Genomic DNA, 27820 nt, shown 5'->3' on the forward strand with positions numbered 1-27820 from the left:
TACGTTAAACTCCTGAGATGCAGTACCTGTGAATGTGACCTTATTTGGAGATAGGACCTTTAAAGATGTAATCAGGCGGGTGGATCACCTGAGGTCAGGAATTCGAGACCAGCCTGGCGAAACCCTGTCTCTACTAAAAAAACAAAAATTAGCTGGGCCAGGTGTTGCATGCCTGTAGTCCCAGCTACTTGGAGAGACTGAGGCAGGAGAATTGCTTGAACCTGGGAGGCAGAGGTTGCGGTGAGCCAAGATCGCGCCATTGCATTCCAGCCTGGGAGACAGAGTGAGATTCTGTCTCAAAGAAAAAAAAAGAAATCATCAAGTAAAATGAGGTCATCAGGGTATGCCCTAACCCAAAGAGTGTGTCCTTATATGAAGAGAAAATACCTCATGAAGACAGACTTGCTGGGAGGAGGCCACGTGGAGACAGAGGCAGAGACTGGAGTGATGAAGCCACAAACACCACAGACGCCGCAGCCACCAGGAGAGGAGGGGAGCGAGAAGGGGCCGACCCTGTCAACACCCCGATTTCTGACTTCTGGCCCCCATGACCGTGAGGGATCAAATGCCCACTGTTTCAAGCCACTGAGCTGGGAGTCATTTGCTACAGCGGCTGCAAGAAACGCATCCACCTGCTCACGAGGAAGGCAACCAAATGCAAGATACTCGACGAAACCTTGGGTTTTTAGAGCAAAAGAACAGAAACAGCTGTATGTGATGTTTTGAGGGAGAATGGGGACACTTGCCTCCAGATTGTATCTCGCGGTCACTGTGCCCATTTTCAGTGCCCCAGGCGCGGTGACAGCACATCCTTCTGTGGAGAACACCTGTGGCTCTGGCAGCTCAGTTCTGAATGTTCCAGCAGATGTAAGAGGGGGTGAAGCAGGGGCAGCCAGACTTTCACAACCTGCGGATCCAGGTGAACCCACGGGCTCATTTCACAGTCAGCTTGGCTGAAGATCTGAATTCCTATAAAAAACATTTGGGAATGAGAGTGAAGAGGGAGGTGAAGATCCCTCATCCCAGTTGGACCCCAGAACTCCAGTAGCATTCCTGAGGGCAGGATGGAGGGGTTCAGGGACCTTCTCCTCAAGGAGGGACCTGACCAAATCTCACCAGTGCCCGTGATCACTCAGGCCCCGAAGCCTCCACCAGGCCCAGGCAGGGCCACCTCTTACTCATCCCCCCACTCGACTGAACGCCAGCTCCTCGGGGCGGTGCTCCACACAGGTCCACGCAGGTGGAAGGGGTAGGTGACACACACGCACAACACCCCCACATACACCACACACACCAAACACACAACCCACAACCGCAAACCCACATACACCACACACACACCAAACCCACAACAACAAACCCACATACACCACACACACCAAACACACAACCGCAAACCCACATACACCACACACACCAAACACACAACCGCAAACCCACATACACCACACACACCAAACACACAACCGCAAACCCACATACACCACACACACCAAACACACAATCATAAACCCACATACACCACACACACCAAACACACAACACACAACCTCAAACCCAATCAACCCCTCCCCCTCCCCCACCACACAACTAAGTGCCGCCTACAGTTGCAGCGGCTCTGGGCTCTGGCAATTAAGGCGCACCTGCTGTATGCTGGAGCCCCAGGGAACGCAGGCCCCACGGCAGAGGCACCGGGCCCTCCTCCTAGAGGCCTGTTCTCTCCTCCCTTCATGCTCCTGTCCCTTTGCAGCATAAGGGCTGAAGCTCAGGCTTTGAGAGCACCCTGAGTGTGATGGTTCTCAGGCACGCCTGCGTCTCCTGGTTGACACTGCCCGTGCTGCTCTCTGGCCTTTGCCTCCCACCCAACCTTGTCAGAAGTGGCCATAGATGTGTAGGTTTATCCTAGGCGAGTAAACAGGTGTGTTTCCCCCAGAGCCACAACGTGGAATGGAAAGATGGAATTGGTGAAGAGAAGCCTTGTCCCACGTGAGGCAATAGTCTCCCGAGGTCAGGGTCCGGGGAAAGATGCAGGCCTTGGTGTGGCCATCCCGAGCCCCAGGACCCCAAGAGAAACCAGCACGGTGCGTCTCAAGGGAGTGCCTATGGGAAGGCAAATGTATCTGCCAATGGCACAGATGCCGAGAGGAAACCGAGGCAGCCCAGAGGGCCCTGGTCAGGGGCACCATGCAAGGGCATCTACACTGATGTCACCACTGGCTCTTCCCGCTCACCTGTCTACCCCTCTCCCCTGCGCCGTGTCCTGGGAGGCTGCCTGCATGAGCGTGTCCACGGTTTCTCCACCCCTCTCCCTGCTCCGCGTCCCGGGGGAATGCCTGCATGAGAATGTCCACAAGCTCTCCACCCCTTTGCTTTTCAGATGGCATCAGCCACACGGAGGCACAAGAAAGATCCCAGAAGGAAGAAGGCTGAAGCCCAAGATCCACTGCCAGAGTCCGCCCCCTGGGTTGTCACTACGGCCATCTGTGTCCCCCTACAGAAGGGCACACCCACACCAGCACCGCTGTCTCCAGGGTCTGGAAGGGCTGCTCCCTTTTCCTCTCCAAGCAGGGAGAGGGAAGTTCCTGCGCTGTGGGCCCTGTGTGCTCACCCCTATCACTGCCTTCCCTTAACCCTTTCTTACCTGTATGAGCAGAGGCCGCAAGCACGGTGTTTCTTTATCATCATTCCCAACCAGGACTGTGATGAATATCACTTCTCAATCACAAACCTCTCATTGGACATTTGTTTAGGAATGGTGCTGACATCCACATGGCTGGGGGATTTTGGCTGTGACATTAAGTGAGCACATTGGCCAAGGATTTGGTGACTGCTTGTTCATTTCCAAAGATGGAAAGCCGCCCCTTCCTCCCGCAGGGGATGATGATGTTCAGGAGGGGGAAGATTCAGGCCCTTCAACACATGGGTAATTCTATAATAATAACAGTGATGTCGGTGATGACTGACCACAGCAAGGACCAGTGCTTCTAGGTCCCCCCTGTGTCAGGTGCCTGGGCTGGCAGGGCCCTGCAGGCTGGGACCTCTCTCATCATCACAGAGCCTGCATGAAGCAGGTTATCCTCCCGCCCTTTAGATAGTGGGAGACTGGGGCAAAGACCATTCAAGTCGAGTCTGCCAAGTGCCAGCTGGTGAGAAAGTGGTAGGTCCCCGCTGCTGAGGGCTTGGGTGGCACCCAGTAACCATGTTCACTGTTCGAGGAAGCTCCTTGTCCTTCCTTTTCCCAGGGGCAGATAGGCAGCTGGACCTGAGAGACCCAAGGCTCTGTGCCCAGCCAGTGTGGACGTGAAAAACTGGGCTGAAGTTCCTGTCTGCCTTATTAAGGCCGCTAAAGCCTTTTTCTCTCCCAGGGTTCACAGATGATGAAAAATGCATTTAATTCCACCCATGGCTGTGCATTCATTTCCACCATGCCCGAGATGGCCAGTGGAAATTAATGTGCACACGGGCGTCTGACCATTTATCAATAAAAGCCCTGGTCTCTGTACCTTTGAACTCCAATAAGAAAATTAACCATTGTCATAAGGACAGTACCTTCTCACGCCTGGATTCAGCAAAGTAATCGAACGCCATGCATCCGCTATTGCACAGCTTTAATTAGCACCCAATTCAAGTCCGCACCGCCCAGCAGAGCATTGCAGGGGAACCATGGGCCTGCGCGTTTGCTTTTTAATTTCCAGCAATGATCTGGTGATTATGAGAGTGTCCACTTTCCATATTTATACTGATTGCTTTTTCATTTACTCTGCTTTCCATTATGAAACGCAAATGGAAAGGTGTCCTAGAACCAGCTTAATTGAGTTCAAGTCATGTTACTGGACATCAAGTGATGTTAAAAGCACGTTCTATTTCAGCTAAGTTATTATTTGGCCCTAAACCAAATGGATCTCAATTTTTTAAAGAGAATGCATCAAATAAACATATGCAGGGAAAAATCTCAAAATAAACCATCTCCGTCGTGTTGACTCTCCACGCTGAAGTACATGGTGGAAACAAGCATAGGAATTAGACACAGCAACTTTCTAATGTAACGCAGAGTAAATTCTAAAATACATCTTAAAATTAGAACACTTCACAACAGGAGTGATCTAACAGGTGTCTAATAGGCCAGACGTTCTGCTCTGTAATGCATGACACGAACACCCCTGGACCCACAGCACCTCTCAGGGCGAGCACCAGCGTCTGCACATTCGTGGTGCACGGAGGGATGGAGGTTCAGGCTGGCAGAAGGACATGTCCATTTAGGTCAGCACAGCCGGTAGGTGGCTGTGCCGAGAACCTGGGTCTGACCACAGAGCCAGGCCCTTGCACCCTCCTCCCTAGTCTCCACTCCCTTGGGTGCTGACAAATCAAGCTGTCCGTCAGTGATTGTCTCCAAAGATACCGACGTTTCACATTTCAATTTGACTAGCATTGAAATGCTGAGAACTCTGACATCGCCTCAAGTCAGGGACTCTATAGCCAAGTTTAGAACTGGAGGAAAGCTCTGAGACTCGACCTCAAGGCAAGAATCAACGTTTACTGCATTTGACTCAATGGGAAATGGTCAAAGACTGGACAGAGTTGCCAAGCAGTTTCTCCTCCAATGCAGCTCCGGGAGGCCTGGCCACAGCCACAACGAGTCCTGGACTCTGTGTAGGCTCTGCTGACAACCCTCCATCTGTGGGGCAACTCAGTCCAAACTCCAGGAAATAGCCTCAAGGTGGCCACAGGTGGCCCTGCCTGCCTCTGCAGACCCTCCAGCCTCAGCCCAGGAGCTCCAGCTCAAAGGGCTACCCCTGCATCTGCTGTCCCTCTCTCACTCCAGACCTTGCTTGCTCCCTTCAGCCATCACGTGGAGGGGCTGCCGGGGCTCCCAGGGTCCAGGCCCAGGCCTCAGCCTTGCGCCTTGGTGGGAGGAATTACAAGAAGGGAGAGACCAGAACTCGGGGGCAGGTGCTGACCACGGAGGCTTGGGGCACTGGATACTGCAGCCTTATCAGACTCAGCCTCGGGCTGGGCAGGAAAAGTCACCTCAGAGAAAGGGCTCTTGGGCTGTGGTTAAAGTGGGAAGTGAGAAGGGAGGCCTGTGGTAGGAAGAGATCTGAGGCAGATGGAAACCACACACAAATGTCAAGTGGCCGTCAACAACCGGGGCTTGTTTTGGAAAGCAAGCTTTGTTTGTCCCGTGATGACTAGATGGAAACTCATTAGGAAGCAGCAGGATTCCTAACAAGACCCTTGCATTCTAGGAGGATGAATGACTCTGTCCTGAGAGCCGATGGAGCGCAGGATGGTTTTGGAGAGCGACTGGTTGGCTGGGCCCCAGGTGCACAATGCAGAGCCCAAGCCTCCTCTCCTCTCTGCTCTCCATTCCACACTCCCCTTCTCCCTTCACAAGGTAGCTGTCCCAGTGTGCTTCGTGCCTTCTTTACATGTACAAATTTTTGACAAAACACGTGCTGTTGTCTTCAAATCATGAACCTCCAAGCATGCCAACGGGGGGGTTACCTAGCACTCGGGGTCCTGGAGAACGTTTCCTGTGGGCCTCTGCGCCCCCACACTGTTGCTTCTGAATGCCGCCGTGCCCTGGCTGCTGCAGCTGCAGAGGCTCGACTGGGGAGGCCTCCGTGTGTGTGTGAGAGGGTCCCTGTGCGGGAAGATTGCACAGCGTAGCAAGGAAGGGGCTCCAATGCAGCCACTGGGAGGACCACACAGTCAGGTGCTGAGGGAGGGAGCCAGGAGCCAGGAGCCAGGCACAGAGAAGCCCCCGTCTGCAGGGCTCCAAATCCAGGCCACTCCTCTGTGTTCATACAAGTGTGGGGCTGCTGGCTGGGAGGGGCACATGGAGCCTCCGGGGCACTGGGAATATTCCAGAAGCTTATTTAGAGGAGGGCCTTGATCATGTGACATACATAGAAATTTATTGACTATATCCTAAATATCTATGGACTTTACTGTAAGTTACTCCTCAATTAAATAAAATAAGGGTGCCCTGTAGGGGCTCATGTGGGAGAAGGCCGAGGTGCAGGCCTGGAGAAGATTAACCGTACCTGTAGGACCAGCAAGGGACAGCCGCCACCTCAGCTGGGAAGCCATGAGGGCTTAGATCTGGGTTCTCAGCTCCCATGTACATCAGAATCACTAGGGGAACTTAGTAAACACACCCCACTGCTCAGACACCACCAGGAAGATGGGGTCAGAGTCCCTGGAGGTGGAGGCCAAGAATGAGTATTGGTTGAAAGGTATCAGGGTGATTTTCAGGTACGTCCTGGGCTGGGCATTCTGGCTTAGAGGGAGCCCAGGGCAGCTGGCATGGAATGCCAGAAACGTGAAGAAGGAAACGTGAAGGAGGAAAATCGCCAGGACTCTGTACCTGATTGGAGGTGAGGGAAGAGATAAAGGGAGTGGCCTGATATGACCCTCAAAGGTTTTATCTGGTGGGAGATTGCAGGGTTGGGGGCATCTGCTGTTCTGTGAGAGGGAAATGAGGAGAGAAAAGGGTCTGGAATGGGTAGAGAGGGACCTCCTGCTCTCTGCAAAATGTGCTCCCCCAACACTCACCTGAGCAACTGCCTTCTCCAGCCAGCATTTCAGGCTGGAGTCCGTGTCTTCTCTGAGGTATGGGAAACAAACTCTCCTGTCCAAACCCAAAAAATGGACTCAGAGACCCGGAGAACAGTGAAAGTGAGACTTTTAATGATGATCTTGTGAGATCGGGTGTCTGATGGGCAGGGGCACCCAGCACAGCCACAACAACCAACTTATCCCCTAGTGTGCAGGCCCCTCCCCCGGTTCCTCATAGGCTGAGTACTCTGGGGCCACAATCTTCCCAGACGTCAACTGTCTGTTGTTGGGCAGGGGCTTTAGGTGTTTTCTTTAGGGTTGTCTTGCTGCATTTTGTTGCAGCCAACACTGCATTGCAATCCTAGTTAGCTCAGGGGCTTTTTAAGTATTTGACTTATGACCTAAGTAGCTGGGCAGGCTGATAAGAACAGACAGTGAGCCATTTTGCAGGCTGATAAACCTTCATCTTAGACTAAACTTCTTTGGTTCTGATGAGGGCAAGAAAAGTGGGGTGTACCAATAAGCAGGTGTCAGCTATCCAACCAGGAGCCTAGTATCTTCTGTTTTTTTTGTGTAGTTTGCTGACCTAAGCTGATTTAAGGCACTTTGTCTTGGAAATGGACCACTGTATACATTATTTCCTCCAGAGGGACTGTCCTTCCTCCACCCCAGCCCCAGTACCCAGGCTGTGTGGGTCGTTTGCACCTTTGCGCAGCATCAGGGGCCCCTCCCTGTGGGTTTTACTGTGCACTTTATTTTGGAAGGGTTGAATCGTGGAGCTTTCTCCCCACCACATCGTGAGCGTCTCGAACGCTTCACTTTTGTTCTCCCAGGGAAACTTCTGTGTCTTAGATTAGGTCCCGTGCCTGCATGGGAACAGGGGCTCAAGAGATAAACGTGGAGTTTAAAAAGTGCATGGGTAGGGGGTCTCAGGACAGAGGAGGAGGGGTGAGCAGAGAGCACTGAGTGGAGTGACTATGGGGGTCGGGGCCCGGGTCGGGGCGGGGGTCGGGGCCCGGGTCGGGGCGGGGGTCGGGGCCCGGGTCGGGGTGGGGGTCGGGGCCCGGGTCGGGCGGGGGTCGGGGCCCGGGTCGGGGTGGGGGTCGGGGCCCGGGTCGGGGTGGGGGTGGGGGCTGCACAGACGCATGGACAGTGGTGTGGTGAGTATCCCAGCTCAGACCCATGAACTTCCTGAGTCTGGAGTGATCTGCAATGGTGGGAACCTGGGCTTTCTAAGAGAAGAAACGAAGAAAACAAACACTAAGGCGCAGGGAGAGAAAGACCCTCCTGGATGCTGAGAATCCGGCTCTCGCTTTCCCAGAAAGGGTGAGGCACCAGGTCCTAGCAACAGCAGATGAGGTCTCAGGAATGATACCGGCCATTTCTTGTATTATTTAAGGCAGGGGTTCGCAAGTTGCCTTCTGTGGACCCCTGGGAGTGCCAGAGATAATTTCAGGGTGTTCTTCAGGTTAAAACTATGTTCATACGCTTGCTAAGAAGTGACTTGCCTTTTGCACTGTGTTGACATTCGCAAGGGTGTGCAGAATTGATGGCAACAGGTAAGACTTAGGATGCCTTGCAATGAATTATAGCATGTCTCCAACATGTGCCACTGTCATCGTCTCCTTCACCACACACGTTTGCGGTAAGGCAGGTGGACGGATGATAACGCATGGACAGACAGACAGAGGTAAGATGGGAAAACACTGTTTCACTCATGAATGTCCCTGACAAAGCAGCACAGAACTTCACCTTGGAGCATGCATCTTTTTAGTATTCCATGTGAAGAGATGGAAAGTGCACTGAAAACATCTCTGCTGACCATGGAAGGAACCTTGCTGGCCCGAGGAAAAGCATTGGTATGGCTGTTTAAGTTCCGGGCTGAGCTAGCTGTTCTCTTCATGAAAGAACACTCCTCCTCGTAGGGACGTCTGTGCTAACACAAACTGTGGTTACTTAGACGTGGGTCTTTGCCAACCATTTTCCTAAAAATGAAACAATGAGCCTCTATCACTTCAATACAAACAAATGACAGTATTTATGAATGACAAATTGGAAATATTAAGCAAAAATTGGAATTTTGACGAACACATATGTGCCATTGAGAGACTAAGAGTTTCCCAATGTTTAAAAACTCTCGTGAAGAAGTAAGTAGTGATACTAAGGAATGCAATTTTATATCAATAATATCATGTGTTAATATTTGAAAGGTCTTCATAATTCAGTGAACCAATATTTTCAAATAACCAATGCATGATCTCACAAGACCATGCCTTTGTAACAGTGCTATTTGATGGCTGACCAATGTTTGGCTTTTTTTCTTGAATGCAGCTCATTGTGAAAGATAATTGATATAGTTTCAGATTCCACATGGCAACTAACTTTTTAAAAACTACCGTTTGTTAAGTTTTGATGTAACATCAAAAATAATCTTCATAATTATCTGAAAAGTCTATGAAAATACGCTTCCATTTTCCACCTGGATATCTATGCAAGGCCGAATTGTCTTTGCATACTTCACCCAAAATAACATATTGCAACAGTTTGCATGCCGAAGAGAAGATGAGAACCCATCTGTCTTCTGTTAAACCAGGCACTAGGGAGATTTGCAGAAATATAAAACAATGTCACTCTTCTCCTTAACTTTGGCTTCGTCTTGGAAAACACTTAATTTTAATTAAAAACAGGTTATGTTTACACATCATGAGCTGACTGCAATTTTTATATTAAAAAATATGCAAACACTTAAAACATGTTTCAGTGTTCATTTCTCACATGGTAAATATCGATAGTTATAACTCATGTGAACCCAAGGTTTTTGGGCCTTCAGTGATTTTCAAGAGTGGAAAGGGTTCCTAAGACTAAATCATTTGAGAACCACTGACTCTGGTCAGGAGCGCCCTGGCCACTCCCTTGTTTGCCTTGCAGTGCCTGCGGGATGGCTCTGGGGGGGTTTTGTCCCATTTTTATCCCTTGTGTCAAATTTTTATTGACAAATAAAAATTATGTATATTCAAGGAGTCGAAGTAAGTATTTCAAGGAGTGATTGGCACACTGAACAGGCTCACTGTAGCACTGCTCACAAGGGCCAAGATCCAGAAACAATCTCCATGTGTGTCTATGGAAGACTGCGTACTGTAATGTGATGTATACCCAATGGAACATTATTCAGCCATAAAGAAGGAAGTCCTGCTATTTACAACAACATGGACGGACCTGGAGGCCGTTATGCCAAGTGAAATGAGCCAGGCCCAGAGAGACAAGTCTGGCATGGTCTCCTTCCAGGCCTCATCTCCTTCCAGGCCTTGTCTCCTCAAGGGCGGCATGGCTGGGGCCCAACTTGCCCTGCTCTGTCTCTTTCCTCCCTGCAGGAGCCACCCTGGGTCTCCGCCAGATGTCTGAGGAGCTGTCATCTGGCTGTGGGACTCCGGCTCTTACCACCAGACTGCTGTCCCCAGCATCTGGGCCTGGGAGACAATCCCTTTCCCTCCCACTCCTAGGATTGCTGGAAATTGCTTAACTCCCACCTGCAGGGGGAATGGGGGCCCAGAGACAGGCACAGCAGGCCTGGCAGAGGGCCTGGGGAAAGGCATCCTGGAGCAGCCAGGCTGACGTGGGTTTTGAGGGCTGCATGGAGCCAGCAACTAAGGATGAGGGGCTGGTGCCGCAGTCAGAGAGAAGAGTGTGCATGGATGGGGGAACCGGGTGCAGAGGCAGGGAGGAGGGATGGGAGGGCAGCAGGGGTGGGAGGCAGGCGGGGTGGGGAGAGTGTGCACACCTAGAGGCTCACTGAGCAGGTGGTGCCCCCCGCATATCCTGAGAGCATCTGAGCCCCACAAATTCTGCCCTCCCAGCGTCTCCGTCCCAGGGAGTGGAATCTCTTGCCAAGAGGCCAGCTTTCTGGGCCTGGACTCCTCGTTAGACACCCAGCAGGTCTCCCACCCTCCTTCCTGTCCCAGGAACTGTCCTCTGTTACTAATCTGTCCCATCACAAGCCTCCAAGATGGCCAGCAAGGCTGAGGTCACCTGACTGCAAGGCTGACTCTCGTGGCCTCTTGCCCTAAGCTCACCGTGGCTGCTACATGGCTGTGTCCAGGAATGCCAAGGCCACTACACAGCTGTGTCCGGGACCCTTTCAGGGTCAGAGTTGGAACCTGCTTTCTGCAGGGTCCTGAGCACGGTCCCCTCTTGAAGGGAAGCTGAGCATGCTGGGCTTGCGGCTCTCAGCGGGAGGACGGGGCCAGGCTGAGGACAGCCAGGAGAGCCTGGGCTGCCGCCTCCTTCCTAAGCCCCTAAATCATCTCCGAAGACACATAATTAAACCACAAATCAGATAATCTAAGGGCTCGGGTTTGTTTTGTTTTGTTTTATCACATGTCAGAAGCTGGAACAGCAAGCCGTTCGTCCTCCCACTCCCACAGGGCCAGGATGACTCAGTCCTTCCCCGGCCGGTGGTGCCAGCAGCAGGACGCCAGCCAGAGCCCGTTCCGGGTCACACCCCAGGCCCAGGGCAAGGCACGGCACCTCTCCTGCCTCAGTTTCCTCTTTTGTAAAAGAAGAATGAGAATGGCCTCCCCCTTGGGGCTGCTAAGCACAGACACGGTAAATGCTCAGTGCCTGTGAGCACTGGGATTTTTCTCTGCACCCACGCAGCAGCAGGCTTCTGTTTGTCCACTTGTATGCTTATGGAGACCTAGAATGGGGCTGCAGCTTCACTGCTAAGACCCAGGCCTAGTCTTTTTATCTCTCTGGGCTCAGTCCTTTCACTGGTAGACTGTGGACCCGATCTTCCCCAGGGTCTCTGTTCCATGCCTCCTTGGGCAGGCTATAAGAAAGCGAAAGTCAGCTAAGCCAGGAGACTCGCACAGGACGCAGGGAGAAGGGGCTGGGGTGTGCCTCCCACTGCTCCCAAAGGGCAGAAAGAGGCAGCATAAAGTGGACAAGGGCCTTTGGGTTGTATGGAATACATGGACTTGATCCCAGCTGGTGGGGATGAGAGAGAAAGCAGGTTTGCCCTCTAGGAAAGGAAAATAAATCTTGGCCCCTCCCCGCCCCACCAAAATCACTAAGCTAAAGGGAAAAGTCAAGCTGGGAACTGCTCAGGGCAAACCTGCCTCCCACTCTATTTAAAGCCCCCCACCCTGCTCACTGAGATGAATGCACATCTTATTGCCTCATTTGCAGAGGCTGATCAGAAACTCAAAAGAATGCAACCATTCGTCTCTTGTCTACCTGTGACCTGGAAGCCCCCTCCCCACTTCCATTTGTCCCGCTTTCGCCTCGAGTTGTCCTGCCTTTCCAAGCTGAACTAATGTTCATCTTGCATATGCTGATCAATGTCTCATTTCTCCCTGAAATGTATAAAACCAAACTGTGCCCTGGCCACCTTGGGCACATGTCATCAGGGCCTCCTGAGGCTGTGTCATGGGCGCGTCCTCAACCTTGGCAAAATAAACTTTCTAAATTAACTGAGACCTGTCTCAGATATTCGGGATTCACAGGTCCCTGATCACAGCAGTGAAGTTACATTGCCACCTTCTCAAGTGTGACACAGCACATCCTGCAAAACCAAAAGGCCCCCCTCCCTCCCCATGCACCTGCCTGCACCCTCCTGGTTTTCTGCCTCAGTCCCAGCCCCGTCCTGAGATCTCACGAGGCCTGTTTCTCCAGCTGCTCCCACTGTTCTGCGTTGGAGGTTTCCTTCCTGGGGGATTGACTGGGCCTGCCTGGGTAAGATCGGTTTTCCTACCCCTCTTCTATTTTGGGGAGCCTGTTTTTCTTATATTGATTTTAATTTATACCTGCTTATTTAAAAAGTAAGTTATAAAACTTATTTTATTCTCATGTTTCATCCTTCATCTTCACTGGCATTTTTCCCTGCACCAACTGTGGGCATGAGCCATGTGGGAGTCCGGAGACCCCAGCCCCACCTGGAAGGGGTTTCCCCGTCTGGTAGGACACAGCCAGTGACAGACAGCTGAAGCACCGTGGGCCAGCTCATCTGATGGGATTGGTCTATATAGAAAAAGTAACTTTTCAAATGTTGGGTGTTTCACATCGGAATTGCATGCCGTTGGACACTTTCTGCATTAGCAAGAGTTATGCCTGCTGGATGAAGAAATAAACGCCAAAACCTCAGAGCCATTGTGGAACACAGATCATAGTGGATGGCCAGCCAACTCCACTGTGGGCAGACGTTGGTGTGGTCCTTGGGCCAAGCCTCCCTTTCTTCTGTGCTGAACTTTGTCGGGAGATTCGAGGCAAATGCTTGCCTGCCGTTCTTGAGGAACTGCTGTACCAGAAAATGAACCCAAATGTGACCCCTTCAGACTGAGGGGTTGAAGGTTTTGTTTAATATTATGGAGGCGGCCAGGCGCAGTGGCTCACGCCTGTAATCCCAGCACTTTGGGATGTCGAGGCAGGCGGATCACGAGGTCAGGAGTTCCAGACCAGCCTGGCCAATGTGGTATAACCCTGTCTCTACTAATAATAACAGAAATTAGCCAGGCGTGGTGGTGTGCACCTGTAATTCCAGCTACTCGGGAGGCTGAGGCAGAAGAACTGTGTGAAGCCAGGAGGCAGAGGTAATAGTGAGCTGAGATCACACTACTGTACTCCAGCCTGGAGGTCAGAGTGAGACTTCGTCTCGAAAAAAAAAAAAAAGAAAAAAGAAAGAAAGAAAAGAAACAATGAACAGAACAGTGCTCTAAAAATATTTCTCTTTTTGTTTAAATGGAAAAATGGAGAAACACATGAAACAATAAATCAAAAATGAATTATAATGGTTGCCACTGGGGGAGGGAAGATACAGAAGGAAGAAGAGAGAAACCTCTCTGAATACACCTTGTTTTATAGTTTGCTTTTGAAACCATCTACATTTAAAAATAATCCTTAAAGCTTGAATCAAAAAGAAAAGAAGACCACAGAAATTTGAAAACAAGCTGAAATAAATTGTATTTCGAGTTGGTGGCAAGCACACAAAGAAAAAAAATAATTGTTATAATTGACTTTAAATTCTGAATCTCAACTGTGTCTCCCAAGAGACACAAAAAGACCGCTTTCAGATGTTTTATTGTTAGAATCAATATTGTTATTTTGAAATTAGCTTATATATATTTGTATAATAAAACAAATATTATTTACATTGATGTTGTTGAAGCCAAGATTTCCAACATGATAGAAAACAGATGCAAATGTAACATCGAGGAGTTCGGGAAAAACCCAGCAGTCCTCAGTCAGAATTGGAAACATCAGCATAAATTAATGATTTGTTTCTCTCTTAAAAAATTTATTATCTAGTTCCTAGCTCAGTCCAACACAAACGCCCAGAAACTTTAATAGTCCACAGCAATGAGCACTTAGGAACCTGGATTATGTTCTCTAAGCATGATTTTCCACAAAAAAGCATCAAGGCTTTGGCCTGATGCAGTGGCTCGCACCTGTAATCCAAGGACTTTGGGAGGCCGAGGCAGGCAGATCAATAGGTCAGGAGTTCGAGACCAGCCTGACCAACAAAGTGAAACCCTGTCTCTACTAAAAATACAAAAATTAGCCAGGTGTGGTGGCAGGCACCTGTAATCCCAGCTACTCAGGAGGCTGAGGCAGGAGAATCGCTTGAACCTGGAAGGCAGAGGTTGCAGTGAGCCAATATTGCGCCACTGCACTCCAGCCTGGGTGGCAGAGGGAGATTCCATCTCAAAAACGTAAACAAACAAAAAAGAATCAAGGCTTTTCAGGAAAGTGGCTAAGTCCAGTTCTCAGGCAGGAACTATGCATGGCAAGCCTGAGGAACTTGCTACCCCAGAAACTGAAGAAGCTACCAGAAGTCATTGTGGTTGTGTCAACAGGACATGGAGCGAAAGGAGACCATTTGAGCATCATAAGGAATCTAATGGGTGTTGATTGAAAGTCATTCATAACTTCGTGAGGACACTCAAAAATCAAACTCATCACCGGGGGTGGCCAAGGTAACCACTGACATTCCTCTGAAAACTTCAAGAACAAAGGGAGGAAAAAAATCAAAATTTACCTTGCTTTCCTATAAGATGCATGTTTCAGAATTACTAAATAAATTGATTACTAAATATATTACTAAATGAATCATTGATGGAAAAGATTGTTATAGAAATATACCAGCTTATAAATTCAGAAAGAGTTATAAAATTTCAAGATTACCATTTGGTGACCACCAGTGAGCTGCCGGATCCAGAATGCCGTCATCAATGCCACCCGTCCCCTGCACCGGGAGAGGAGTTATCGGAGGAGATTATGATGGACCACAGTCCAGGCTGACAGCACCCACCCTCTCATCCCAGTCGACATAGCTACCACGGCACAACTGGACTCATGTGCCTCTTGAGAGAAAAAAAGGGAAGTGCTCATTCCCAAAACATTGAACCTGAAGCTTGCTGGGTCTTGACAGCAAACACCCATTTATTAGAAGTTGGTGGATTGTAGAAACATTTCGAATAGCACAAAAATAAACTGATCAGCCAAACTGAGATATTCTAAGGTCAAATGATACATCAACAACAAGTTTAATAAGCTCCCTTCCCCCCACCCCCAAAAAAGAGAGGAGGGGCTATCAGAGATTAAATGAAACTGGAGACAAAACCACCGAATACTTGTGCCAGTTGCTCTTGATTCAAACAAATCAAATATAAAAAGAAAGTCTTGAGGCAATTAAGAACATGTGGACATGGTCAAGTGAACTTAATCAGTTGCATGACGGCCGGCGCGGTGGCTCATGCCTGTAATCCCAGCACTTTGGGAGGCTGAGGTGGGTGGATCACGAGGTCAGGAGATCGAGACCATCCTGGCTAACATGGTGAAACCCCATCTCTACTGAAAAACTACAACAAAAATTAGCTGGGCTTCATGGTGGGCGCATGTAGTCCCAGCTACTTGGGAGGCTGAGGCAGGAGAATGGCATGAACCCAGGAGGTGGAGCTTGTAGTGAGCCGAGATCGCACCACTGCACTCCAGCCCAGGTGACAGAGTAAGACTCTGTCTCAAATAAATAAATAAATAAATAAATAAATAAATAAATAAGTTGCATGATGTCATTTTTGTAGCAAATGACAAAGTCAGGAATCCAACCTGAGACACCACAGCCCTTGGTGATCATACAAAATCATGACCTTCTCCTAGGGTGTAATGTAACTTTAATATGAAAAAGTATGCTGAAACAGCTGGCATCTGATAAGGACAAACATATAGTGGCCTTCAGCAGTGTTTGGAGAGTGGATGAGCCAATGGTTAAACAAATGGGCGGAGGCATGTTTGGCAGGAGAGCCAGTATCACATGCAATTGGTCTCCCATCTTTCTGTGGGATCACCTACCAGGTTCATCTGAAGCTTAGGGAGACTCAAAGAGCCCCAGACACCGAGACATCGCTCTAAGATCCTGTAGCCATGCAGAGCTGACTTTTCCTCTGGAAACAGTATAATGATCATAATGAGAATGAAGACACAGACCTCATTTCTATGGTTAATTAGAAAGATATCTCCACGACTAGCGGGCATTTTCTGGTTTCTGCTGAAGAGCCTGTTCTGCTCTGCATATCTGTGCAATATCCAAGCTGGGGTATGGACCCTGGGAGAGGAGAGACCCGGAGAAGATGAAAGGATGAGGGTGGAAACAGAATGGTTTCACCTGCAAAGCGCAACTCACATATTTGCTACTGGAACATGCTGAGGGCTGGGGAGGTGTGGATGTTTTATGTAAGTCTACACAGCATTACTGTAGTGATTTAGGAAAAGGCTCTTTTATGAGAAAATGGCTAAGATATCTGAATTCAGCTCTTGCACAAGCAGGATAGAACCCGCAGGCTGCAGTCAAAAGGGACATTTTATTTTTCCCATGAAAGCAAACATTTCCTATTCAACAGAAAGACAAGCACACCCAGACTCTGCCAGGTGGAAATTTAAGATTGGGTGAGGGTGATTTTCCTCAGCCTCCTGCAATGAAGACAGGCTCAGGGCTATTGCAAGTCTCCCACCTAGAGCAATTAGCAGCCGCATTAATGTGATGCAGAGGGGCAGCTGCACTTGGAGGTAGGAATGGGGAGATACGGGTGGGATGGCGAGGTGCAGGTGGGACAGGGAGATACAGGTGGGATGGAGAGGTACAGATGGGAGGAGGGGATTCAGGTGGGTTGGGGAGATGCAGGTGGGATGGGGAGATGCAGGTGGGATGGGGAGGTGCAGGCGGGATGGGGAGATGCAGGCGGGATGGGGAGGTGCAGGCGGGATGGGGAGATGCAGGCGGGATGGGGAGGTACAGGAGGGTTGGGGAGGTGCAGGCGGGATGGGGAGGTGCAGGTGGGTTGGGGAGTTGCAGGTGCGGTGGGGAGGTGCAGGCGGGGTGGGGAGGTGCAGGCAGGGTGGGGAGGTGCAGGCGGGGTGGGGAGGTGCAGGTGGGATGGACAGGTCCATGTGGGAAGGGGAGATTCAGGTGAGATGTGTAGGTACAGGTGGGATTGGGAGGTATAGCTAAGCATCTCCTCTGGCATATCAGGCCCTGCCTCATTTGCCGGACTCAGAAGGGGCTTCTGGGGTCTGGACTGGACAGAATCCTTTTCCCAGCCCAAAGCCTGTCCTGACCAGGGCAAAGAGCCCACTCTGTGGATCAGCCTAGTGAGGAGGATCTGGACTCTGTCCTGCAGTGAGCAGCCAGCGTGCTTGGAATTTGGTGCAGGACAGGAGACTTCACCAAGGGCAAACTCAGGCCCAAGACTATCCCCCTGGGCAGGAGAATAACGCAGCAGCCCTCAGCCAGTGTCTCCTCCTCAGCCAGTGTCTCCCAGGTCCATCCGCGCAGCCAGTGTCTCCTCCTCAGCCAGTGTCTCCCAGGTCCATCCGCGACTCCAGGGTGTCTGTCTAGGACCAGCTTGCTGCTTGACTGTGATATTTCATTTGCTTTTATTTGTTCAGGAAACGGGATGAGAGCTCCAGTTCTCTCCTCCCATGCCTGGAAGGATTGGAGAAACCTGTAGCCCCACATCCCAGGAGTATGTGGAAGCAGAGGATGCTGTGAGGGTTATCTGGCCAAAGGGCTCTCACCCCTGCTGACCTGGCTGCAGCCCGGCCTGCAGGAGCCCCTCCTCCCTGCCCCCTGCCATCTGGAGCTGCAGAACAGGCTCTGGGTCCTGCCTGAGGCATCTGCTGAGCCCCCCACCTGCCCATCAGGCTGCAACTCAGCCAGAGCGAATACCACCCCTGCCCCTCCATGCCTGCAGCCACCTGGCAGCCCCTCCTTGCTGCCAGCTTCACGCCAGTTGACCACCCTGCCACTCCTGCTGCCTGGATGTACCAGGAAGAATCTGCTTGCTTCTTTCTAGTCTCACTGTCTGTGGGGTCCCCTTGCAATGAGGGCCCCAGGGCAGGCATGCCTTAGGCTGGGGTAACAGAGACATGGGCGTCTTCCTGACGCATCCCCATTGCCTCGGGGAAAGGAACTCCCTTTACCCCCAACAGCCCTCTCTGGCCCTGGGATTCTTTCAAAATCAGACCAAACAGGGCTGCCATTTCCATCCTAAGGCCCCTTCCCTGTCGCAGTGCTGGCGTTGGTGCTGGGGGAGTGAAGGTGAGCGGCCGGTATGCTGGGGTATAGGTGGGGCTGAGAGTGCTGAAAGGTGCAGGTGACATTCGCCAACAGCTGCAAAGGCTGGGGGTGGCGCTTGCACTCTGGGAAGGTCAGGAGGGGCCCCTGGGAGAGGTCACACATGAGCAAGATGGCAAAGCACTATTTGGAGCACACAGGAGAAGGCACCGGAGACTCATGGCTTCCAGGCACCCTGAGTTCAAATCCTGACAGCCTCTGTGTGGAGGAGCTGGCTCCCATGGGCTCCAGTGTGGCCTGCTTCCCTGTTTGTTTAGTGAACGCCTTAACAAAAAAGGTTTTAGGGGGTGCCTCACCCTTTAAAATTGACAGGACCACAAATCACCCCACACACAATTGTGTGTGTGTGCGGCCCGCCAGGTGGGGAGGGCAGGGCCTTCCTGTGGTCAGGTTCCCAGAGAAGCGCTTCCAGTAGGGGCCACCAGGCATGGCCCCTCTGCCCCACCTTGATCATGTTCATGCTTACATCTCAAATGCACGTGTCTGCTACATCTTTCATTGTCTTTTAAGTCAATTGGGAAAAAGCAAAACAGAACTCCCTAATTCAACCTCAAAGTTAACGCATCCATGTGAACTAAAGAAGAAAACGTGATTTTCATCTATCACAAGAATAAAGAAGTGAAACACTGATCATATTAAAAGGGGTGTGGGGGAATTGGGCACTCTTTCATTTTTGGGGTGAGATCATTAACTGGAAAATGGTTATAAAGAGGAATTTGACAGCACACATCACCTATAAACATTGTAAGATGCTTCATTTTGAAAAGTCTGTTTTATAGACACAAAGTGCTCAGAAGTTACTGCATAAGCATGTTCCCAGTGATGCTGTTTTTAACAGAAAAAAATGAAAAAAGAAATATGGATGATGAAAATGGCTGAATGAGGAAGTGGTATTGTGTGAGCAGGAAAGGGGAGCAGGTGCATCTATTTGCAGTGACCCACAGACACATCTGGTTTCTGCAGGAAACGAAAGCCAACTGATATGATGGTTTCGTTTTGATGCCACTTTATTTTTTTTAAAGTGTATGTGTTAATATGTGAACAGAAGAAAAGCCACATACCTACGTGTTAACAATAATTACTTCCGGGAATGTATATAAAGTGTGAATTTCTGCATTGTTTGCATGTTTTATCAAATGTTACTTCTTTTATAATTAAAAAACAAACCTGAAAAAAACTCCATGCTGAGGTAAACACTGTCTGCTGGTTTGGGTAATCAAGGAAGAGAGTAGTTTGTCTTTATCTAATTTGCTTAAAACGTGAACAACTTGAGGAATAGCTCACACTTCCATTGCACATTCTCCGCCAGGAAATGCTGAAAGCGCTTTGCACATATTAACTCACTCAATCCTCAGAGCCGCTTTATGAGGTATGTGCTGTCATGATCCTCACTTTAACAAATGGGAAATATGAGGTGCAGAAAGGGCAAGAAACTTTCCCCAAAGCTCACGAGAAGTGCGGCACGGATTTGAAATTAGGGTGTCAGCTCGAGACGCCAAGCTTCAACTCCCACCCCACCGGGGCCCTCCCCAGAGCCTCCATGTCTCCCTGCCGTTGCCGGGCACCTCGTCCAGGGTGCCTTCCTGTTCCCCACTGCTCAACCTCCCCAACCTCCCCAGCCCTTACTGCCAATATCCTCAGAGGGCTGGGGAGCCCAATAACAGCACCCCCCAGGTGTGATCAGAGGACAGCGGGCAGAAAGCACTGGAATGGGCTTAAACACTAAACAAACCCCAGTGCCTTTGAAGTACCATGCTCTGGTCACTTGTGTTGGTGAAAGCCGTAGTCCTGAGGCCACCTGCCCTCTCCCAGAACTGAAGAGCTGGCACCCATGAAGGGCCAGGCTGACCCCACTCCCCATGCAGCCGCAAGCCAGGACTGCAGCAATGCAGAGAGCAGAGACCACCAGGATGGCCCCTGGCTGGGCCCCCAAATGACCTGCGGGCAGGCTGTGCTCACAGGAGGCTGCGTGTCTGCTGGAGTCCGCACCTGCCAGCCTGGCTCTGCATCTGGAAGCCTTACAGGAGCACCTCAGAGCCGAGCTTCGAGGCCTTGCTGCAGTCAGATGGGGAATACACGGCCCACCTGCTCCCCAAGCAGCCTGCCCTGCCATGCTGCCCTGTGGGTCTGGGGTACCACTGGATGAGCTCTGGTGACAACAAGGTGAATCATGCCTTCCTTGGAGCAGTGAGAGCCCTTCCAATTATCACGTTTCCAGAGAAAAATGAAAATCTAAATTGAAATCCTCTTTCTCTTGCAAGTTTCAGCTCAGCTGCCGACTCCGCTCTGGAAGCCCGAGGGGCTCCCGGGGGCTCAGGCTTCCTTCCGCAGCAGCCACCCTTGCTGGGGCTGCTTCCTCCCAGAAGGTCACGGCTCTGCGGTGTCTTGTTGGTCATCTGTCCTGTGTCCAGCACTGACACTGCTGCAGCTGTGAGCCTTCCCCAGGGCTCGGCCAGTTGAACCCAGGAGGAGGCAGATCCATCCAGCTGCTCAGAGGCCCAGGGTGGCCTCTTTGGGAAGGAGCTGCTCTGTGCAGAGCTGGGCCTCTGAAGATCTGGGATCCTCCAGGCCTGGGGTAATGAAAGCCCTTCATTGATGGCCAAACCTTCCCTCCACCAGGGCAATATGCCCCACACATCACTGTCCCTTCCTTGTCACCTTCCTCCCTGGAGCTGACCCAGTTATGGGCTTGAAAATATTAATCTACTTCTTTGGGTGACTCCAATCTGTCTTTACTATAAGTCAGGAAACTGAGTGCTGGACCCCAGAGCCTCCTCTGTCTGCCGCCTCCTCCTCCTCTTATTTTCCTCCTCCCCCTTTACCTCTCCCTCCTCCTCCTTCTCTTCTTCCTTCTTCTCATCCTCTTTTTTCTCTTCCTCATCCTTCTCCCACTTTTCCCCTCCCTTCTGCTCCTCCTCTTACTTTCCTCCTCCTCCCTCCTTCCCTGTCCCCCTCCCTGTCCAGCCACTGGGTTTCCTAACATGCTCATTCTGGTTCTGTCCTGCAGGTGAGAGTTTGGGAGTCCAAGGCTCCGGGACCCCAGTGCTCTGTTCCCAAGCTCTGTTCATTTTCCCCTGCATGAGGGAGGGGTCCCCCTGGAGGTCCCCATGTTCCCTGGGCTCCTGCTGTCACTGTCTCTGTGCTTTTCTGCCCAGAGCGTTGCCCCTCCCTGGATCTCCCTGGGACTCCTGCCCCACCTTTCTCCCAGCTGTGCTCTGTCTGGGTAGGGACTCCCTGCTCCTCCACCCTGAGAAAGAGGCGGGAAGGTCATCGGTGATGGTGAAGGTGTTTCATTCAGATCTCAAAACCACGCTCCTTCTTGGTAACCGGTGCTGCAGCTCCTCACATCACCTAAGGGCCCCCTCCAGTGGGCTTGCCCCTGCAGGGGGTCACCTCAGCCGCCATGTCCTGGTAGAGCCGTCCGTCTCCTCTGGCCTGGCCTCGCTGCCCTCTCCAGCCACCCCACACGCGCCTCCGACAGCCTGGACTCCTGAACACAGTGCGGGTGGTTCTGTCTCATTTTCCTCTTCATTGGGTCTAATCTGGTCCATAAAATGGCAAGTGTTCTCCTTAGGAATATCTCCTCTTCTTCCAGCTCAATTCAAGGGTTTTAATTTTTCTTTCACTTTCTCACTATTGGTCCTCAGACAGGAGAGAGGAAACCATCACTCAGGGGATCCTTGAGGCAGAAACCACACCTGTGGGAAAGGGATGTGGGCGGAGAAGGGGAGGAAGGGGAGGGAGTGGAGGGGAAGAAAGGAGAGGGGAGGGAAGAGCTGAGGGAAGGGAGGGGACATTCTTGACAGGCAAGACACTCTGCCTTCCGGGGGAAGAGTGCACAGGTCCCTAGAAGTCTCTCCAGTGCCCTTTGCTCCTCAGGAGAATGGAAGGAGGCCCCTTCTCTCTGGAGCCATGAATCTGAGGACCAAGGCTGTGCCTGCACCACTCTCTGCAAACATCCTCCAACCATCTCTCTCCAAAATACGCTGGGAACTCCTTCAGCCCAGCCTGTGTTTTAGGTTTTTAAATACATCTTTGTTTAGGAAATGGTCTGCCATTTTTTGAATATGTTTAATGAAAAGACGAATGAATGAGCCTTGGACATTTGAGGGTGTCAAATAGAACCCAGGTCAACTGAAAGAATACTCAGTTCTCCAAGGTCAGGCTAGAACTGTCCTCTGGACCCCTCCCCACCAACACCCTTAGTGGGCTTTTGTCCTTCATGGAATGAGACCATCTCACCTTAAATAAATCTCAAAGTCTATGCTGCGGCTCGATCCAGCAAGTCAGGGCTGCACCAAGGTGGGGTCCCTGAAGTGAGTTCCTGGGATGCCCAGACAAAGGCCGGCCATCCTTCAGCCATAGGGAGGAGCTGACCTGGTCCGCATGAGGCTCATAGCTGGCAACTCACTCTATGCTGGGTTGAAGGACACTGGTGCCCACTGATGGGCTCCGGGGCCACACAGGAACCTGGAGCAGCCCCACAGGTCAGCTGGGCCGTCCTGCCCAGGGCTCTGCCCTCACGCACCTCTGGACCGGGTCCTGTTCCAGGGTGGGAGATCAGGCCTGAAGGCTTAGGGATTGATGCTGAGGGGCCTGTGTCCCTGGTACACATCCAGCCTGTATGAGCTTGTGTGGACAGGAATCCGCAGGGCAGGAGGAAGACTTTCATCCACCTCTGTATTAGTCTGTTTTCACGCTGCTGATAAAGACATACCTGAGACTAAGCAATTTACAAAAGAAAGAGGTTTAATGGACTTACAGTTCCACATGGCTGGGAGGTTTAATGGACTTACAGTTCCACTTCCACTCACATTCATGGTGGAAGGCAAGGAAGAGCAAGTCACATCTTACGTGGATGGTAATAGGCAAAGAGATTGTTCAGGGAAACTCCCATTTTTAAAATTCAGTCTCCTGAGACTCATTCACTATAATGAGAACAGCACAGGAAAGACCCACCCCCATAATTCAATCTCCTCCCACCGGGTTCCTCCCATGGCAAGTGGGAATTGTGGGAGCTACAACTCGAGGTGAGATTTGGGTGGGGACATGGTCAAACCATATCAGGCTCCTGTGAGATTTGGGTGGGGACACAGCCAAATCATATCAGCCTCCCAGTGTCACACAGGAACCTGAACCTTCACCTTCCAGGGGTATTGGAAGGAATCCTCCACCCTCCCCTCTGCCCACCCACTTCTCCCAGGGAAGAGGCGTGGATTCAGTGAACACACTCCATGGCGCCCAGGTGGCTCCGAGCTGCTGGGCTCTCCCTGTCTGGCCTCCCAGGGCCACAGTGGACCTTGGCCCCGACCCTCTGTGCCTGGCCTAGTGGAGCTCATTCTGCCCCTGGAAGGAGCCCCCACCCTGCCATTTTCCAGATGCTGCATTTATTTGGGATGAAGCTGTAGCAAGGTCCTCCATCCAACCTGAGTACTGCATGGCTCAGGGCACAGTGCAGATGTTGTGACTCTGGTCTTTCACTTTCTACTTCTCGTTTGGATCCTGACTCAGAGAGGGTGAGGTGCTCCATTCCCCCCGGCCTCTCCAGGTCCCAACACACACACTTCCTCCATTTCCACGTGTCTCACGTAGTTCTCGTCTTGGCCTCAAGAGAAGAGCTCTGAAAGTGGAATTCCACAGACCCTGGAGAGCTAACATGGGCCATTCTGGGCATGCTCCGGCTCTTCCAGCCTCAGCCTTTCCATCTGTAAAATGAAGGTTTGGACGGGAGGCTCCGTCTGCATTGGGGGAAGGGGTCCTCTGGAGACGCAACAGATGGCTTAGCCTCTGCCCATCATTGCCAGCAACAGGGCTCGCTCCCCAGGAGGCAGCTCATGCCACAGCTAACTGCTCTTGTCAGAAAAGCTGTCCTTCCATTCAGCCAAAAATCTGCCTCGCTGTCTCTCCACCCAGTGGACCTGTGTCCCCAGTACACATCCAGCCTGTTCGAGCTCGTGAGGATGTTTTTCTGCAGGACAGGAGAAAGATCTTCATCCACATGGGAGTGTTCTTCTTCCAGAGTCATTAGAAGCCTCTTTCCCAGCAGAGGCGCTGAGAGGGTGGAGGACTGCTCTGAGCTTCCAACAGCCTGTCGCCCTCCGTCTGACCTGCACGTTTCCAACACACACTTGGCACTGGTTACTCTGCTCTGGATGTGTTCCTCGTGGTCAGCATCCACTGAAAGGGAGTGTAACCCCGGACGCGGTTGCAATCCTGCAATCCTGCAGTGGGTGCACTTTGCCCTTTCCCAGGCTGGCCCCTCTGTAGGGGGCTGGGGTCCCTCGCGTGCGGGGCAGCCCGTCTGATGATCTGGGCTCAGGGCTGGGGCCAGCAACACCCGCAGGTGTACACGGCATGAATCACAAACCGTTTTGTTTACCTGCGGTTGGTTTTTGTTTTAATCCAGGGAACAAGCAGGGCTTCACTTTTAACCCTACTCAATTCCATCTTGTTCACTTCAGTCCATTGTTTCGGCCTGTCAAGAGGTCTTTTCTGTCTGGACAATTTCCTCCACCACATTAGCCTCCCCTGTGAGCTTTGATCTGCACATTTGACAAGCAGGTCTGTTACAGCTCATCCAAGTCATTGATAGAAACGGACCAGGATGGGGAGTGGACAGGTGCCACTGGAGACTTCCCTCCAACTTGACATTGATCCATTAATCAATATGCTCCACAGCTCTGCCACTCCCTGACAGCTACAGCCTCTCTTCCAGGGTTCTCCATGGGGCCCATGGTAACAGAGTGGGGACTCCACACAACTCCCCTGTTGCCTGGGTGGGGAGTCTACCAGAAGTCTCAGGGTCCCGAGGAACGTGTATTCCTGGGCTGCACCCTTCTGAAAACCACAGTGGCCTGCCGTCTTCACGGGCACCACGCTGTTGTGGGTCCTGGTTACCCTCTGCCCGCTGACATCCTCTATCTATCGCTGTGTTGGCTTGGAGCTCTTCAAACCCTTCCAAGCAGCATCCCTGATGCCGCCAGCAGAGCCAGGGCTACTTCTCCTTGGCTGCACTTGGCTCATCTGGCGTCCAGATGCCCCTTGCTGCAGGCTGCACACCCTATGTGCAGGTGCCCAGGACGCCTGGGCGGAGGCTCCATGTCGTACTCATTCTCTGTCTCACCCTCCCCACGTCCAGCGTGGAGCCCTTCGTAGACACTCAATAAACATGAGCGTATGGACTGACCAAATCTTTCCATTCTCAAATGCATCTCGCAGGGCAGGGGTCGATACAGATGGCTTGTGTGGCCAAATGTGGCCCTGCTGCCTGCTTTTGCAGGGTCTGTGAGCTAAGACGTTTTAAAAAACATTTTTAAATAGGAAAAAATTTAAACATACCACTTCATGATACATGGCAATGATATGAAATTCAAATTTCAGTGTCTATAAATAAAGTCCCACTGGAACGCAGCCACGCTCTGCACTGACGTGTCACCCACGGCTACCCCCACACTGCCGCAGCTGAATCGGGGAGTTGAGGCCGACACTGCATGGTTCACAAACCCGAAAATAGGTGCTCACTTGCCCTGTACGTACGTTTGCTGATTCCCCGCTTGGAGGGAAATGGGTCTGCTTAGGACAGAAGAAACATCCACAGGCGAAATGCATTCATTTATTCAAGAAATATTGATTTGCAGCCAGCCTGCGGGAGGCGAGATGCTAGGTGGGGGCAATTTGGTAGGAATCTGGAGAGAAAAGGCCCTGCTCTCGCTGACATCAGAGTGAGTTAGGAGAAACAAAAAGCAAGGAAAGAAACAAAAATAATTCCGTATGATGAAAAAATGGTGTAAAATCCCAGGGAGGGGCAGCAGAGCCCCAGGACAGGGGGACAGTGGAGAAGACCTCAGAAGGGGGGCAGCCTAGGGGCGGGGGGAGAGGAAAGATGGGGCAGGTGGGCTGGGTGTGAGGTTCTTGGGGCAGGTGCAGCAGGGAGAGAGGCCGGGACAGATGGATGAGGCCCTGGCAGGCAAAGGGCTGGGCGTTGCTCCAGCGGGACCAGAGGGCTTTAAACAGGGACGCGCCACCATGGGATTTGCATCCTGAGAAGAGCTGGGAAGACCCACAGGCAAGCACCAAGCCTTGGGTGGTGACACAGGAGAGGGCGACATAGCCTCTGTCTCCAAAGAGCTCTTGTGTTTGCAACGTGAGCTCTCGGAAATGTTAGGTCCTGGGGGCCAGAAGCAGGGTTTTTTTTTTTTTTTTTTTTTTTTTTCATAGAGACAAAAAATAATTTGCTGCCTTGCTCATGTGTTCCTCCATCCCCCCGTTTACCCTTCCTTTCTCCCTCCCTCCTTTCATCAGACTGTACCCAGCGCTGGGGGTCCAGGGCACACACACACCCACATCCCTCTGCTCTCCCTGCTTTCAGCCCCTGAGTCTCTGGGAGCCTCCCTGTCACCCCGCAAAGTAGCACTGCACTTGCTCATCCCTTTTCTCTCTTTTTCAGGAAAGCTCATCATCATACTGTTTACCTATTTCTGTTGTTTGTTTGGTCTCTCTCTCCCTACAGTTTCACTAGGATAAGGAATATTTCTCTTTTCTTCATAGCTGAATCTCCAGTGCCTAGAACCCAGAGCAGGCGCTCTGGAAAGATTATGAAATAAATTGATGTAACCCTTGATTACAAGAATAGCTGAGAGAAAACTGAATGAATGGTGCCTGCAATGTCTCTTCCATGGCTAACACCTTTCGCCCATGTGGAGTCTGCCCTACTTCAGGAGATTCACAATGGACGGGACGCATTCTGCTTTCAAAGCACAGTACCTGCCCCTGACGTTCAAAGCCCGCGTTCTCCAGGTTTCTGATGTCCTGTTCTCCTTCTCTTCATGTGTTTGCTTTTCAAGCTGGCTTGGTTGGTGTTTCTCACTGCGGTTAACAGGGAATCCTGTGCAGCCGAGAATCTGCCCTGTCAGGTCCTCAATAGAGGGTGCACATGCCTCATAGATTCCCCCCAAACTCTCAGCACAGCCCCCAGGTCTGGTCCTTCGCGGGCTCTGGCCACTCTGCCTCGGCTCTGACATGCCAGCTACAGAGGCCAGCTCTCCTACAGCAGCTCATGCCACTTCTGGCTCTAGGCATCCGGCCTGTCCTCAGTGCACAGTGTGTGTGTCAGGCCATCCTGGCATTGCTGTAAAGAAATACCTGAGCCTGGGTAATTTATAAGAAAAGAGGTTTCCATGGCTCACAGTTCTGCAGGCTGTACAGGAGGCATGGTGCTGGCATCTGCTCAGCTTCTAGAGAAGCTTCAGGAAGTTTCCAATCATGGTGGAAGGCAAAGGGGGAGCAGGCATGTCACATGGAGGAAGCAGGAGAGAGAGTTAGGGGGATGCCATGCACTTTTACATGACCAGATTTCGTGCAAACTCAGAGCTCACTCATCACTAAGGGGGTGGATGGCCCAAGCCATTCTGGAGGGATCCCCCCATGGTCCAATACCTGCCACTGCCCCCCCCCGCAACACTGGGAAATACATTTCAACATGAGACTTGGGTGGGGACAAATATGCATCCTATATCAGTGTCCACAGAGTTTCGTTCTGCACCTGAAGAGGCTCCTCTCAGATGCTGCCTTCAAAGCGGCAGGCGTCCCTTGCCATTTCTTCTGCCCCAGGTCCAGGCCAGCCATAGGCAGGTCTTT

At 51.4% G+C, this 27820-nt stretch overlaps 1 long non-coding RNA gene across 1 annotated transcript, besides 8 other annotated features; it reads left to right on the top strand.

The window, feature by feature from the left end:
* Nucleotides 4380-4964: an enhancer, noted in NCBI's record as "NANOG-H3K4me1 hESC enhancer chr22:48479499-48480083 (GRCh37/hg19 assembly coordinates)". NCBI's record gives its function as "activates a minimal SCP1, AML or CMV promoter by ChIP-STARR-seq in primed H9 embryonic stem cells {active_cell/tissue: H9 hESC(primed)}" and the evidence as "EXISTENCE:reporter gene assay evidence [ECO:0000049][PMID:30033119]".
* Nucleotides 4965-5549: an enhancer, noted in NCBI's record as "NANOG-H3K4me1 hESC enhancer chr22:48480084-48480668 (GRCh37/hg19 assembly coordinates)". NCBI's record gives its function as "activates a minimal SCP1, AML or CMV promoter by ChIP-STARR-seq in naive and primed H9 embryonic stem cells {active_cell/tissue: H9 hESC(naive and primed)}" and the evidence as "EXISTENCE:reporter gene assay evidence [ECO:0000049][PMID:30033119]".
* Nucleotides 10952-11031: an enhancer, noted in NCBI's record as "active region_19270". NCBI's record gives its function as "activates an Ori minimal core promoter by ATAC-STARR-seq in GM12878 lymphoblastoid cells {active_cell/tissue: GM12878}" and the evidence as "EXISTENCE:reporter gene assay evidence [ECO:0000049][PMID:35858748]".
* Nucleotides 11062-11311: an enhancer, noted in NCBI's record as "active region_19271". NCBI's record gives its function as "activates an Ori minimal core promoter by ATAC-STARR-seq in GM12878 lymphoblastoid cells {active_cell/tissue: GM12878}" and the evidence as "EXISTENCE:reporter gene assay evidence [ECO:0000049][PMID:35858748]".
* Nucleotides 18950-19059: an enhancer, noted in NCBI's record as "active region_19272". NCBI's record gives its function as "activates an Ori minimal core promoter by ATAC-STARR-seq in GM12878 lymphoblastoid cells {active_cell/tissue: GM12878}" and the evidence as "EXISTENCE:reporter gene assay evidence [ECO:0000049][PMID:35858748]".
* Nucleotides 19080-19289: an enhancer, noted in NCBI's record as "active region_19273". NCBI's record gives its function as "activates an Ori minimal core promoter by ATAC-STARR-seq in GM12878 lymphoblastoid cells {active_cell/tissue: GM12878}" and the evidence as "EXISTENCE:reporter gene assay evidence [ECO:0000049][PMID:35858748]".
* Nucleotides 19360-19599: an enhancer, noted in NCBI's record as "active region_19274". NCBI's record gives its function as "activates an Ori minimal core promoter by ATAC-STARR-seq in GM12878 lymphoblastoid cells {active_cell/tissue: GM12878}" and the evidence as "EXISTENCE:reporter gene assay evidence [ECO:0000049][PMID:35858748]".
* LOC107985536 (uncharacterized) lies at nt 19467-20903 on the top strand. The gene is made up of 2 exons (XR_001755616.2): nt 19467-20347; nt 20446-20903. It is a non-coding gene; the product is annotated as an uncharacterized LOC107985536 (long non-coding RNA).
* Nucleotides 23064-23296: a silencer, noted in NCBI's record as "fragment chr22:48498183-48498415 (GRCh37/hg19 assembly coordinates)". NCBI's record gives its function as "represses an EF-1alpha promoter that drives an FKBP-Casp9 reporter gene in an ReSE screen in HepG2 liver carcinoma cells {active_cell/tissue: HepG2}" and the evidence as "EXISTENCE:reporter gene assay evidence [ECO:0000049][PMID:32094911]".

The sequence above is a fragment of the Homo sapiens genome, chromosome 22, assembly GCF_000001405.40.
Source record: "Homo sapiens chromosome 22, GRCh38.p14 Primary Assembly".
Lineage (NCBI taxonomy): Eukaryota > Metazoa > Chordata > Mammalia > Primates > Hominidae > Homo > Homo sapiens.